This window comes from Homo sapiens, chromosome 3 (genome assembly GCF_000001405.40).
Source record: "Homo sapiens chromosome 3, GRCh38.p14 Primary Assembly".
NCBI lineage: Eukaryota > Metazoa > Chordata > Mammalia > Primates > Hominidae > Homo > Homo sapiens.
In genome coordinates this window covers 60,296,895-60,312,821 of record NC_000003.12, presented here as the reverse complement: position 1 = coordinate 60,312,821, position 15,927 = coordinate 60,296,895, and the positions used below count along the sequence as shown (strand labels likewise).

At 38.1% G+C, this 15,927-nt stretch overlaps 1 protein-coding gene and 1 long non-coding RNA gene across 8 annotated transcripts in view; both read left to right on the top strand.

Moving 5' to 3' along the window:
• The window catches only part of FHIT (fragile histidine triad diadenosine triphosphatase), a 1,504,176-nt gene that overhangs the window by 938,631 nt on the left and 549,618 nt on the right, over nucleotides 1-15,927 (top strand). The gene's annotated exons all lie outside the window — the stretch shown is intronic.
• Nucleotides 1-15,927, top strand: part of LOC107986015 (uncharacterized) — a 100,472-nt gene that overhangs the window by 43,931 nt on the left and 40,614 nt on the right. For both annotated transcript variants that reach the window (XR_007095935.1, XR_001740433.3), the window contains one exon: nucleotides 1-15,927. This exon is cut by the window's left edge and continues 13,179 nt beyond it; it is cut by the window's right edge and continues 40,614 nt beyond it. This is a non-coding gene — a long non-coding RNA (uncharacterized LOC107986015).

The following is a 15,927-nucleotide window of genomic DNA, read 5'->3' as shown; positions in this document are numbered from 1 at the left end:
GTTCCTATTCAAATTGTTAGCAAAAAAATTGTGTGTGTGTATATACGTATGTATATACATAGTACCTACTTCAGGGAGGCGTTGTTAAAAATAAAGTAGGTCCTCCCTCAGATGCAGTGTTTTTTAATCATACTTCTCAAAGGTAGTTGATAGGCTGGCAGGAGCAGCTTAGATCTCCCCTAGGAACCTATTGGAAATGCAGAATCTCAGGTCCATACCAGAACTGTTAAATCAGAAGCTGCATTTCAACCTTTATTTGTTTTCACACTAAACTTTGCAAAAACACTTTCCTGGTAGAATGACCACTGGTTTTGGGTTAGTTCTAATGGAGTTCTTTAAAGGATTTTAACCACAGAATTCAGTAAGAAATACATTTTGTGGCTGGGTGAGGTGGCTCATGGCTAAGGTCCTGGCACTTTGGGGGGCCAAGGCAAGGAGGATCACTTGTGCTCAGGAGTTCGAGACCAGCCTAGGCAACATAGTGAGACCTTGTCTGTACAAAAAAATTTTTAAAAAAAATCAGCCAGGCATGATGGTGTATGCCTATAATTCTAGTTACTCAGGAGGCTAAGGCAGGAGGATTGCTTGAGCCCAGGTGTTTGAGGTTATAGTGAGCTATGACCATGCCACTGCACTCCAGCCTGGGCTACCCCCATCTTAAAAAAAAGATTTTTTTATCCCATTAGTACAGGAGAGCATCTATACTCCTACACATATATAATTAAAGGTTTCACCAAACAGTGTTTACCCTTGCTGTATGCTAAGTACTCAGATTTTTTTAAAAATTGTATTTCAGTTTAAAACATGCTGGTCACGGCCCACTAAATTGATTTTATAATTCAGTTTATAAAGAACTATTATACTGTATTACCTTAGGCAAGTCGTTTTTTTCTTCCTTAGGTCTTGATTTTCTCAACTGTAAAAATGTGTGGGTTGGACTAATTGATTTCAAATATCTGTTAGCTTGAACAGCCCTGAGATGCTCTATGAAATGTGAAAGTCCACCCCGACCATGTTTAAGAAAAGGGCATGTTTATTGGTTGTTGTATGTGTCATTTTATTGAGAGGGCCTGAAGGAGCCCATACAAATGATAGCTCACAAACCACAGCCTTTGCATAATAAAAGCTTATAGCTCAGAATGGTAGACAACACAGAGTGAGCAATTATGCATTGGTCCTAATGTGTCATTATTTTAGACAAACAAAATACAACTGTAAGCTTTTATAAATGTGCGTACTTTGTTAGTGTATAACTAAAATATAATGAGCTAGATTCTTTGCCTGCCTAATATACACTCAGAATATTAAGCAGTCTTGTGTTTGGAAAAACACAGTAGCCATATAGTGAAGAAACCAGACAACATCTTGACCTGTGATCAGAATTCACATCACCATTCATGAGCAAAGAGATATGTGTGTGTCTCCTGATGCAGTACCCTGAGAAGCATAACCAATATGGTACTTGGGTCCAGAATATACAACCTGAATCTAAACTCAAGGACACAGCAGAGAACCCCCAAATGAGGAATAGTTCTATTTAAACAAAATGAAACACACACACACACACACACGTTGGGGTAGAGGGGTTTGGGGCATGGAGGTGTACTGTTAAAAAAGAAAACAGAAAGACAAAGTAATGTTTGAGGTTAAAGGAGACTTAAGAGTTAGGAACACTAAATAAGATCCTATACTGGATTTTATATTAAAGAGGGGAAGATGCCAAAAGGGATGACGTTGGGTTAATTGACAAAATTGAGAAACAGAAGACAGTGGACTGGATATAATATTGTACCAATGCTCCATTTACTGAAATTAGTAACTGTACTGGGGTGGAAAAGAATATCTTTAGTTTTAGTTTTAAGAAGTATGCGCTAAATGCAATTTATTTTCAAAGGAAGCAGGAAAAAATAGTGTGTATACAGAGAGAAAGCAAGCAAGAAAGTGCACAAATGATAGGCAGATGGGGAAAAATATAATAACCAGTGAATCTGGGGCATACACAGTTGTCCCCTGTACTCATCTAATTCTTGGACCATGTAGATAAGTTTGAAATAAATTTCAAAATAATTTCAATTACAAATTTCATTTGTAAATGAGCCCTTTGTTTTCTTTCTTTCCTCTAATCTGTGTCCTTGTGTGTTTCAGGAATACGTAGAGTGCTTTTGTCTTGGGGGTTGTGCCTTTTAAGGCCAGGTTAGGTTGGACTGGAGGCTCCAGTTTTCCCCAGTAGCTGTTAGCTCTCTCAGAAGCCAACTGGAGAGGCTTGGACTGGTCACCTCCTGCACCTGTGCCTTTTTGGTCTGTTCCTCTTTTATCAGTACTGACCCCTAGGCCTAGGGTGGGGGAAATTTATCATTGATTGTCTGTCTCCTTTGCTTCTGTTGGTCTTTCTCACTTGGCCTTAGGCTTTTCTTGACCTCCACCCAATTCTTGTTCTACTTCTTGCCCCAGGTAACTAAACCCTTATTCTTTTCAGCACCAGTTTCTTTAAGAGAGCACCATTCCCTTTTGACCTTGAAGAACACCTAGCATCCCTTGAAAAACACCACAGAACAGAGAGGCAGATGTCAACAGATGTTTGGACATACTGGTGGGTCAAAAGCCTTCAAATAACAGGTCATGGGCTCTGTGGAGACCTGAAATCCATGAAATCCATTTTGGTTTTTCTTTCAGCTTTGACTTGCCTTTCCCACGGCAGAGAAATGTGGGAGAAGTAAATAAAGGTTGCCTTTGTTTACTTGCTTTCTTGCCTGCCTGCTCTGCCTGCATGACCTGATTCCAGACAGCAGGCAGGTGCTCAGTAATTGTTAATTACCCTGTGAAGACGTGTCCTTGTCCTCAAGGAGCTACAGTCTTATGAAATGAGACACTCGAATGTGAAGTGGACTGAAAGCACGTGTGATTAAGTATATTTTAAAAATTATAGTAAGTAATATGTAGTGAGAATCTAGGGAACCCAGAGACCATTGTGGCTGTGGGAGCGACTTGAGCTGATAGAGGAAGTTGGAGAGCTGCGAGGATGTATCCCCAGGATCTATATAAAAAGCCACCACATGGTTCTATATTGAAAAAAAAAGTTAAACAGGAAAGGAAGCAAGCAACTATGGTATAGGATCTCAGATGGTTTGCAGAAGAATCTGACCTCAGAGTCTGTTGGCTTACTGAGGAGAGGAAGCTCAAACCCTTGGATCTCAGGGTTTCACAAAAAGCCTCAATTTGGAGTTTATATATTATTTCCAGTAGAAGGAATGCACAGAAAATCTTTAATAGAAGGTAAAAAGTCCTCTGTCACACCACTTGAGTATTTCCTTGCTATGCTTTTGGCTTAAACAAAAAGTTTTGTCGTCATCTTGGGACTGTCATAATCATTCTGCAGTGTATTTTTTTTAGTGTTCAAAGTAGCCTATGTTAAAATGGACCATACTTTTTGGACCACTGGTTTGAGGTTTTTTTCTTTTAATATACCAAAGTGTCAGAAGTGGAAATGGGGGTCTCTTGTCCTCCCAGAGCCTCTAACCATCCCCACCCACCCTTGTAATAAGGTTTTTACACAGCACTTTATGTATTTGGTGAGGTGGATTTTCCCCTCTCCCAAACACCTCCCTCAACCCCCAAGATAAATGGTTCCAAACCTTCCGCTGCAAGCAGAGCTGGTGTTTAGTTTATTGGTAATTAATTGCTAGCACTTCCCTGACAGAACATAATGGAACTACAGAGCAATCACTTAGAAAGGGAAACAACTGTCAATTATCACTCTAATGAATCCTGTTTACCAGAGGTGACGGCACTAAGGCTCCAAGCAGCCTAGAAAGTGGATATCTTAAAAACTCCATTTTCGTACTGGGTGTGTGATGTGTGAGATAATCACTCTCTAGGCCAGATTTTAAAGTGGCCCCAGCTGTGGATAACAGTATATAATTTCAGAGCTATTCTCACAGTTAGTGATTAAATACTCTCTGTTTGTATTTGAATATGAGTAAATAGAAACAACCATTCCTCACATTAAAAGTTTTAAATAGTATACTTTTGGTGATCAGTTATAGAGATGATTATAGGAGTGATGTGATAGATGACATTTAGTGAATCATCGGTAACCCAGGTCCTATGCTGAACATTTCATATGCATTATCTCAATTCTTAAAACAATGTTGTGTTCAGACAGTTGGCAGAAAGGCAAATTCATGCTCTCATGCAAATATAAAATGAACACATCAAGATTTTGTTCAGCTCACTAATTGTTGGGGGGGGACCCAATGTAACGTTAAAGTCAGTCCAAAGAGCATTTGAGAGGCATATATATATATATATATATATATATATATATACACATACACCTATACCTATACCTATACGTGCAATTTGGTAGAGTGTTGGGTTAGATACAGAAAGGATGATGTCCTCCTGGTCTGTAACAGCCCATACTAATTATTCCCTCTCCTGAGAGTTGTCAGTTAACCCTGTAAACAGAAAGTCAGGCCCAATAGTGGGAACTCTACACTGAAGGAATGCAGTAAGCTCAATCGCCTCTTTCCAAGTTTGAGATGACTTTTCTGTAAGGCAAGTAATACTGTCATCCATATGTGACAAATGAAGAAACTGAGGCTTTGTGAGGTTAAGTAACTTGGCCAAGGTTATAGTAAAGGTGGAGCTGAGACTGACTGAAGTCTGACTCCTTATATGGGTGACTTGAGCTTAATAAATGCATGGATTTATCAAGTTCAACTCCCAAGATTGCTGCTGTGCAGCACGATTACTGTCCGTTGTTTTCCTCTTATCTGCGAAGTAGTGTTGCTGATAGTACTTACCTCCAAATGACATTATGAGGATTCAGTGAGTCAGCACATAAGGCACTGTGCACAGTGCTCACTGCATAGTGATCCCTTGGTAAATGTTGGCTACTGTCAGCATCATTAGCAACAATTATCACAGTACACGTGTGTGCCGAACCACATGTGTCTCAGAGCAGTGTCCTCACCTTCTCTACCTTGGCCATGGTTGCCTTGAGGGTCTGGGCACAGACAGCATCTGAGCTCCAGGGATCATCATAGTAGGGAAACAGCTCTCTCCCAGTGTTTGTCCAGGGTCAACACTGGCTTCAGCTGACCCCAGGAATAGACTGGTCTCTTAGTATTTGAGAAAATACCTCTTTTCCTGGGAACAAAACAACAATGCAATGTAGCTCATAAAATATTTGCCCTTGCTGTTTTATGACCTGTGAGACATCAAGGATATACAGATCCATGATATTTGTAGCAGGTGTCATTTTTTAAAACACACTCAAAGTAAATATCATTGTCAAACAACACACTGAAGATTTTATTTGATGGTAAAAACTCAAGCATGGCATTCAATCCTTCTTCCAGTTCATATTCCCCTGTATCAGTGAGAATGGATTTTAAAAGTTCAAGACTTGTGTGGATATTATCTCACTGTCTTCCTTCGGGCAGATGAAGTATTACAGACATTTCTTTGAATCTTGTCTATTGGAATTAGGGAGTGCTGAACTATAGAAATCAAAGGTCAAATGACAAGATGGTGTGTGGCAGGCGAATTTACTGACTTTTCTGTTAAGACTTCTCTGTAGATGTTAAGAAAGTTTGAAGTTTTTGAGGAGATGTTTTACTGGAGACAGAGTGCTGTACTGCCTCCTCCTCTGTGAGATGAGAGCCTTATTGCAGTCAGCGTGTCTGCATTTAGCTGCCCAGTTGTGTCCATAATTTTATGTTCTCAGTTTTGTTGTGTGGGGAAGAAAGAGATAGTCATGTCAAAAGGGGGCATGGTTTCTTAATGTGGAAGTCTAAAGAATACACAGAAATAACTACCTCTGCCTTCACAGGATTTCTGTCAGATTTTTGCCTAATTATAAAAGAAGTGCAGCATAGAGGTCTTATTACTGTGGCTAAGATGAAGGAAAACACTCTCACGATCAATCCTCCATGATTTTATTATTATTGATAATTCAAACGATATGACTGTACTCTTTGAGCACTGACGAGCACCAAGTGTATTTTTAAACATGCCAAGTGTGATTAGTACTCCTTCTACACATTCCCTTAAATTTGTAAAATCATGTAATGTGTTTGTTTTTTATTTTATATTTAGAATTATTGCCTTGTAAACTCTCTTGCCATACTGCAAGCAGTGCAAAGAGACCCATTTTAATTTTGCACGTGTATTGTCAAGAATCATTATGAAGATCTACAAGTAAGGGTTGAACAGTTGTTCCTGATGGAAATGACGCAGACAGAAAGAAAAAGGAATTGAGGAGCCTCTCAGTCTAAAAACAGGCATATAAGTGATATCTTAGTAATTCGTGTCAGAATGCCCCAAAATCTGTTTTACGTTTTCTTTGCTTCATGGAAAGGCTACAGACTGGGTTAAGTATTTTTGCAGAGATTTCTATTCCACATAGCCTTGACTCCTTCAAAGCAAATTTGTTTTCTCTTTTACCTTTAGTTTCCTCAAACAAATTGGGACTAAAGTCACCAGTGAAATAATGCGGGATGTATTGACTTAGGGGAGATATGTTTTTAATTTTAACTTCTTGGGAAGTTGAGTTGACGTAAATCCTCTTTACCATAGTCTGCTGAGTTTTGCGTACTCTAGTTCTAATCAAAAGTCAGACAAAGTCAAAAGAATCTGGAGTTAATAAAATTCTCCTATTTGTTTTCCTTCACAACAGTGATATGTCTTAGACTTTTACGCTTTAATACCCCTCATGAAGACATACCACAGTACTACATGTAGGCTAGCTTTAGAAAATCTTGGAATTATGGTTTAAATTGTATAGTCATTAACTGACAGAATTTGCTTTTCTAAAATACAACTTTTAAAATTAGTTGTTGTGACCTTTATAAACATTAAGAATTAAGGTAGAATGTAAGTGATGCAGTCTCATTAAATTTAATCAAGTTCAATAAAAATTCCAAATTCAAAAACCGTCTTCATAAAACTGTGCGTTATCACCAAACCATTAAATAGCACATCAGTTTAAAATTATTAAAAATTGCTAAGTATCCATTTAGCATGAGATACGTGTTATGACTGCAGACACCTCCAAAACAAATCGACAGTCTATTGCACTGCATTCTGAGAATGTAAAAGCACCATTACTTACTGTTAATGGTACTTCTCTAATGTATGTAAATACCTCATCTGTACCCAAGCTCTTGGCAGTTATTTCTTACTTCTTCCTAGACAGTTTAAAGATCTTAATTTATTAATATTCACAACAAGTAGAAAGATAAACACATTGTTTTGAAGCCCTTGATGGATGGAGATTGGAGATGCACAGTGTTTGGGTTGAATCAACAGCCGAGAGTAGATATTAACTTGTTGGCAGTAACTCATGGCCCTGCATGAAACAGAACCTGGAAGAGAGAAGAAGAATTTAAAATGCTGTTATTGAGAATCTCTGGAAGTATATTATTCCAAGGTACCTTAGATTTTAAAATTTGGCCTCACCCTACACCTATTTTATGATTTGTCCCCACTACATCAAACTCAGTGTATGCTCTTGCCATGGTAAGCATTTTTTATTCACTTTACTGGAAATGATTGACAAGGACTTCTTCAGGATACATTGGGAGAGCAGTGTTTCCTATTTATTATGTCCTTTCATCTCTGCCTGACCTAGAATATTCATGCTTCTGTCTTAACAGGTCCCATGTTATAAAAGTTTAAAAAAAAAGAACAAAAAGGAATATTCTGTGTTTTCTTGCAAACCCCAGCCCCCAATCCAAACAAAGTGAATGGCTTACAGACACGAGTGGTAGGATTTTCACCAATTTAGATATAAAATGTGACAACGGACAGAATCTACATTCAATGTCTGTATCCTTCTCAATTGCCACAGACTGGGTAGTAGGAAAGCAAAAGCAAATTTTTGTAGTAAAAATCTTCTTGGCATTTTATTTTTATAGTAGATTAGATTCAGAGATTTTAATAAAAACTTGTCTTTAACTTTGTTTGATAGAGATGTACAATCAGCTTAGCTTGGTTGCTTAATAAAGTTAGATACTGAGAATTGATGAAATTTTAAATCCAGCTTCTAATTTAGAGTTCCCAGAGTTAGCAAATAGGAGTACAGGGACCCAGCTGAATTTGAATTTCAGATAAATGTAAAAAACAGTTTAGAATAAGTATGTCCCATGCAATATATGGCACATATACTAAAACTGTTTTATTATTTATCTAAAGATTAACTGCTTATCCTATGTTTTATCTAAAAACTCTATTTTATGATGATAAAAGATAAGTGCTTTTTGTAAGCATGTAAACTCACACACTTGTCTCATCTGTAAAATAGGAGTAAATGTGGCCATGACCTCTAAGGTTGTTGGGAGGATTAAATTCATTGATACCAGTAAAGCTCATAGAGTGTTTCCTGGCATCTAGTAAGCAATGTGAAAGTATAAGCTTTTGTTCCTGAGGTGTGGTGGTCATTTGCTCCAATAAGCCAATACATTTGCTCCTTTTCTCCTGGTAGAGATCTGCTAAAAGTAAAGGAATCTTTCTGATGCAATTGGCAGCAATTGTTGATTTACTTGCCAAAATGTAGGCTAACCCAAGTGACCCCTTGACTGAAATACTTAAAAATGTAATGTGCTAGTGTGTTCACAGGCATTTAAAAGAGCCACAGAAATTGTAATGTTTCATTTTGCTTTTCAAAGGGATACTTAATAAATGTATTAGTGTGATATATCAGGCATGCTCTAGAACATCTGTGTGTCTACGTAAAGAAGGAGAGAAGGAATAAAGGAGACAAGCAAGAGCCAAGGTGCAGGTCACAATTAGTAGTCATCAAAATGAAAGCAAGCTGTGCAAGGGTACAAGAATTCCCATCTCATTGGAGGGAAATGCATCATGATGTTGTGGGTGTCTTAAATGTAAGAGGAACCAGTGTTCCTTACTATTAATCTGTAATCCTCTAAGTGCTGGGCACTCCTGTCTCCAGTCCCTCATCTGAGAGCTGTGTGTAGAAGTCAGAGTGGGTTGGGTTATAATGCAATAACAAACAATATGAAAATCACAGTGGCTTAACCAACTGGGAGTATTTCTCATCCTTGCAAAGCCTGCGGAGGTTCTAGGTGATGCTCCAGGACAGCTCACCTCCAAGGGGTGGCTCAGCACGATTGTCTACTGCTGTCTTATGGCACCTTTATCTCAAGGCTTCAGGGATGAGAAGCATAGAAAATCACATATGGGCTGTGAAGCGGCACACATCAACACTGATCACAGCCTGTGGGACAGAACTGGTCATGTGGCCCTGTCCAGCTGCACTGAAGGCTCTGGAAATGGTCTTCCATGGGTCCAGCAACGGGAGAGGGCTCAGATTCATTAGTGAATGCTGCTTTGCCATACTGGTAAATGTTGCTGATAGACTGTGTTACTCTCCTCCACAAAGTCCATGAGCAACTTCAAAATTCTTTACTGTGTCACAGGCAGCATTTGGCAATCAAACTGGCAAGAGAGCTGAAACCCATTAGCCTTATCTGAGAACGAAAACACATTAGCCGTCCTGCAGTCTTCTTCTAAACCAGTGAAAATGCCTATGACAATAGGAATTTGGATGTCATGCTTAGTGAATTGTATTTTAGAGGTGAAAAGAAATAGTTTCTTCTGATAGCCTCTGTCACAGGCTTGCATATCAATTTGAATTCACCATTACTTCAGGGTGTGTTTGATGTGGGAGAAAGTGGTTTCCAGGTTTGGCAGTTGTCAGTCTCGATGACAATATTTTTAAAATGTACCTCCAATTTGTCTGAAATTTACATCCTTCCTAGCTTTATTCCCATGCAACAAAAATATTAAAGGTTTTTCATAACTGTGACGAACAGGGGAGAAACTTATTAACAAAGCTTTCAATAAAAGTTGAAAATTGATTTTGATCCTGGTGTAAGGCTGATGGCATCAAAGCTTTTTACAGCTCAAGGCAGTCTTGTCTAAGATACCTTAAAGTGATGCTTGATGAGAAATTTAGATCAGCCCCCATTTGAGCCTAGCCATTTCAGTCCAGTTTTCAATTAGATGGAATTTTCTGGTGAGTGACACTTTCTACCAATTAACTTTGATAAAGGAGCTCAGCCTCAGAATATTCTCAAATCAGGTATATGTGTTAGACGTCAGTGAAATATGATTGTTGGAAGACTGGGGAATACGAAAGACAACCTTTGAAATGGGAAGTCACATTTCAAAGTTCTGCAAAGTAGTTGCTTATACTAATCAACCATATTTGTTTTTTCTTTTAAATAGTTATTTAGTTCCAAGCAATGTCCTAGGCACTGTGATGATCACTAAATTGCATTAGAGGCATTTTCTAAAAATAAAAAGTGAGATGTGGAGGAAGAAAAGAAATATGGTAAAACATAGAATCAAGTATTTAGTTGTCTTTTTCGGGATAAATGTCAGAGGCCCTAAGATAGGAGAAATTATGCAGGGTTGGAGTAGGCCTGTTGTAGGAGGTAAAAGATCTGTGAATATTCTGTTGATTAAATATGCCAGGAGGAGAGAAAGGGAGAAGGGCATCCCACACTGAAGATATAAACATTTAGTCAGAAGCTGCATTTCTTGCCTTACCAATAAAAACCAAGCTTTCCTTGAACTCTTAGAGATAAAAATTTAAAAAAAGAATGACCAATATCTTCAAAAAGGAAAACATAAAAACAGCATCATTTAATTCCCACAGCATATTGATTCAAAGTGGCCTTCAGTTAAATTTCTAATTGGAACCTCCTGATACTTCTTTTTAAAAAGCAATTAAAGTAGAGGCAAAAATATTAGTCTGACATTGAATCATAACCACTTTAAATATATTTAGTCAATATGGGTATTTAATCATCTCCCGAGAGCAAACTTTTTTTTCCTTTTATAAGGTTACTCTTACAGTTTTTAATTGACAGGATGTATATTTAGCATTTAATGTGTGTTTTTAAAATTTCTGAGGAAATGTATGAGTGCATTTTTATTGTTTGAACTTCAGTCCTTACAGAAAAATAAGAGTAATCTGTGCTTCTACACCCTGCTCCCTACTCTGTAGTCCTTCTCCTCTAACTAGAAGTAATATTAGTAACTGTTAAAATTAGGTGTAAAATTTTCAATGTTTATCCTAATCACTTATTTTGCTAAAACCCGTTAAAGAGTATCAGAACAATTTTTAGATTCTAAGTCATGTTATGAGCTTGCTGTTGCAAAGGTGAACCAACACCAGGGAAACTGGGGGGTATGTCAAAAGGAACTGGAGAAGGGTAGGAGAAGGTTTTGGGAGCTAGAACTAGCCATGAAATGGTCCTAGTAGATCTGGGTCAGAATTGATCAACTAGGCAGTTTCTAGAACAGAGTTTATGTGTATGGGTTGAGCACATGAGGCTGAATGAGTTTGTGATAAAGAAGTTTAGGTTTAGTCAGTAATTATAGCTTGGCGAGATACAGTGTACTTGTTTCATGAGTCATAATGCAGATTTGCAAGTTATGGCTGATGTTTTCATTCTTTAGTAATACGTACATAAGGCTATGGTGAAACACACTATCTCTAGTTTATATGTCCAGCTTTTCCCTTGACCTTATGAAGCAATGCCAATATGACATGTCACATAATTATTTTCCTATTATGAAATATTATTTACTTGTTGACTATAAAGGTATTAAAGTGTTTTAAAATCATACTTTCAGGTCAAAATTTTATTTTAGGATAAATAAGAGAAAACCGTTTCAGTTTTTTAAATAAATGAACAGATAAGTCTCCTGAGAAACGGGAAGCCCAAATGGGAACTCTAGGGATCCGGGGGAATCTAGAATGGACTCGGGAGAGATGCTTTGGGTGCTTGAAAGATGATCTAGCTGCTTTTTAGAGATGAGTTTGGAAGCAGGGAAACTTGGGAGATGACTATTACAGTACAGGTAAAAGAGAATGGGGGCTGGATCTAGGGCTGATGGAGTGAAGCAGATGGATCTGAGAGCTATCTGGAAGGAGAACATCAGGACTGTGATATTCTTATTTTGACTGGTGGGGAATAGGGGGAGTCAGAGGTATCCAAAATGCCTCCCATATTTCTAGTTTGTGCACATGGATCAATAGTTGCTGGATCAATGCTGAAACACAGGACAAACTGGAAACAACTGGGTTTTGTTGGAGCAAGTGGGAAGTAGGCAGGGAGTTTATCATCGGAGTGCAATAACATGCCCTTTATTTATATCTTGACTGAAAATTGACAAAGCACCATCCCATTTCCTATCTCATCTTATACGACCACAACTGTGGAAGGGCACCTCGGTGATATCATCCCCATCTTACAGGAAAAAACAAAACAAAACAAAATATGGGGCTGCCTGAATATTTAAGTGATATTTAGAGATGCAAGGCTAGTAGCTGACCATCTTTCCATTAGAACTTGAGTCTTTTGACTCTAATCCTCCCCACTTTGTAACCCTTCCTTTTTTCTTCTCAAGTAAAGCTGTGAATATTCTCTTACTATCCCTCAGTTACACTTTTTTTGGTCTTAATTTCTCTTCTTTGATAGGATCTGTTGTGATAACAGTCAAGAGAAAGATTTTAGTTTTTTTGAAAAAGTAAAACAAGGGGACTTTCACTTCTAGGAAAAAGGTGTACTTTTTCCTCTTCCTCTCATTTAGGACAAGTAAAAAATCCTGAATATTGTATATAAGACAAAACTAAAAATATTCTGAGAGGTGGAGAGAAGTCAGATCAGCTAGAGACCTGGAGACACAAGAAACAATATGGTAGTGAATTCCCTAGACGTTGTTTTTGCCTTAGCTATCCCAGCCCTGGAACTAAAGAAGCTAGTAACCCTTAGCTGACAGAGGGCACAGACAAAAGGAAAGGTTACAGCGAAAGCCTGCTCACTGTAGGTGAAGGACTGGGAAAGGGGCAGTCTAGCAATATAGAGAAAATTTTTAGATAATATCTGTACTACTCCAGCTAAACACCACACATACACACATTGAAAAACGTGTGGCCTACCTACTCCTACCTCCAACAGCAAAGGCCAAGTGGGAGCCAAAACTACTATCGTCACTGGGATGTAATGAGCCACTCCAGCCTCCTTGTCAGGTTGGTATTACAGAAAGCCAAGTAGAGAGCCAGAATTCTCATATCCAGTGGGTGGTAACGAGTCCACATGGGGAGCCTGGATTTTCACCTCTACCAACAGTAGAGAAGTACCTTTTCCTCCACTCAGGGGTGATACCAGAAGAGGCATTATAGACAATTAGGACTTTCTCCCCTGCCCAGTAGTAATAAAGCCAATGTTTCCCAGGCAGGCAAAAGTGGCATCATATTTTTTCCATACTGAAAGAAAATAACTGTCAACTTAGAATTCTATGTCTAGTGAAAATGTCTTTCAAATATGAAAGGGAAATCAAGACACTCTCAGATGAAGGAAGAATATTCATTTATTTTTTAATTTTTGAAGTTGTATTGCCCCAAATGAAAATAGTAGGAAAAACCCTGCAGACCAACATCCTTCATAGACAGAGATGTCAAAATTTCTTAACAAAATGTTAGCAAATTGAATTCAGCAATGTATAAAGAGAAGTATACATCATGATCAAGTAGGGTTTATTTGAAAATCAGCAATGGAATCTACCGCATGTCAACCGTAAATAATGAGGTTCAAAGAATACGATTAAATGTGGAGTTTATCCTAGTGCAGAGCTTGAGGATCGTCACGGCTGACTCTACACAAATGGATCAGCAGCCCAATTTGGTGCTGTTGAGGTTTCATTTACATAGGCAGGGACAGAGAAGTTCCAGCAGGATTACAACATTTTCCATGCAAGACCAGTGCACATGCCACAGTAATTTGATTGGTTATGGATTGCTACATTCAAAGGAAGATTACTTTATTACTCTGTGAGAAAGGGTAATGATCTGAGGGGGTCCTGTCCCTGGCACTGCTTGGTCTTCTTAATTATTTACAAGAAAAAAGCCAGAAGTTGCAGCTGCATGCCACTTGACTCAGGCTGCAGAGCCACCTCTCAAGGTTCAGAATGATTTAAAGCTCTAACAGCTTTAAGTTGACTTATTTTAAGTTTAAATTATCTAATTTCATACACATTAGCAGGCTAAGAAAGAAAAATGACATGATCATATCAATTCCCACAGAAAAAGCATGTGGTGAAATTTAATACCACTTTGTGATAAAAACAGAACACTATAAAAGGAAGAGAATGTTTTCAAATTGATAAAGAATATCTGCAAAAAAGTAACATACTTAACATTGAAAGACTGAATGCTTTTCTTTACGGTTGGGAAAAAGTCAAAGATGGTGACTCTCACCGCTACTATTCAACACAGTGTTGGAAGATCGAATACTTTTGTGATATTTTGATATAATAAACATATTTGGCCTCTGCCCCTGGTTCCGGGTGCACAATTCCTAAAACTTGTGAAATCTCTGGAGATAAGAGTGTTTTTTAATGCTAATATGATAACTGGTGGCTGGGGCCCCTAGATAGCCTCAGAATGGGGACTGGTTGCTAGGAGAACCAACTATGTGGTATAAGCATCAGAACTTTGAGCCTTATCTCCTGACTCTAGGGAGGGGAGAGGGTCTGAAGGTCTGGATGATCATCAGTAGCCAATGCTGTAATCAATCATGCATAAGAAATGAAGCTTCATAAACACCTGAAAAGGACAGGATTTGGAGACCTTCCAGCTTACAGAACGTGTGATGATGCCTGGAGGGTGGTGCTCGTAGAGAGGGCACCTTCCCAGAGAGGGAAGGTCTACACTCCTTCCCACATACCTTGTCCTCTCCATCTCTTCCATCTGGTTGTATATCTGCATAAGTAAAGCATTTCCCTGAGTCCTGTGAGCCACTCTACCAAATTTCTTGAACATGAAGAGGAGGTTGTAGGAATCCTGATTTATAGCTGGCCAGTCAGAACCACACTTCACAGCCTGGGGTACACAACTGACATCCAAAGTGGGAGCTGTCTTGTGGGACTGAACCCCTAACCTGTTGGATCTGACAATATCTCTGGGTAGATAATGTGTGAACTGAATTGAATTCTAGGATACCCAGTTAGCGTCTGTTGGAGAATCTGGTGTGAGAAGTGTTGAGTAGTGTGTGAGAGTAGGAAAACACTTTAGTATTTTATGCCCCCTACGCAAGTTCTGATACTTTTAATACTTTCATTATTGATCTTGCCAGCACAGTGAGCCAAGGAAAGGAAATAAAAGACATACAGATTAGAAAGGAAGCAGTAAAACTAGCCTTTTTTTTGCAGGTGACTTCCTTGTAAGTCATACCTAGAAAAGTCTAAGGAATCTTTTTAAAAAATCCTAGAAATAATAGATGAGTTCAGAAAGGCCCCAGGATATTAGACCAGCATATAGAAACCAACTATGTTTATTTATATTAGCAATCAACAGATAGATACCAAATAAAAAATACAGCACCTTTTACACACACACAAAAATAAATACATGAAAATCTATCAAAAAATGTATAGAATTTGTATGGTGAAAACTACAGAATGCTGATGAGAGAAAGCAAAGATGATCTCAATAAATGGAGAGACATATTCTCACAGGTTAGAAGATTCATCATAGTAAATATGTCAGTTCTCCCAAGTTGATACAGAGTTTTAATATAATTCTTATGAAAATATCAGCAACAATTTTTAGTAGATATAGACAAGATTATCCTGAAATTCATATGTAAAGGCACAGGAACTAGAATAGCTAAAACAGATTTGAAAAAGAATAAGGTGGTAGGAATTAGTCTATCATCCAGTTTCAAGACTTACATACTTGTAATATTTATATGACCATGTGTCATTGACAGAAGTATAGACACATAGATAAATGCAACAGAATAGAGAACCCAGAAACAGACCTACACAAATATGCCCACTGGTCTTTTTTTTTTTTTTTTTGCAAAAATAAAAAAGCAATTCAGTTAG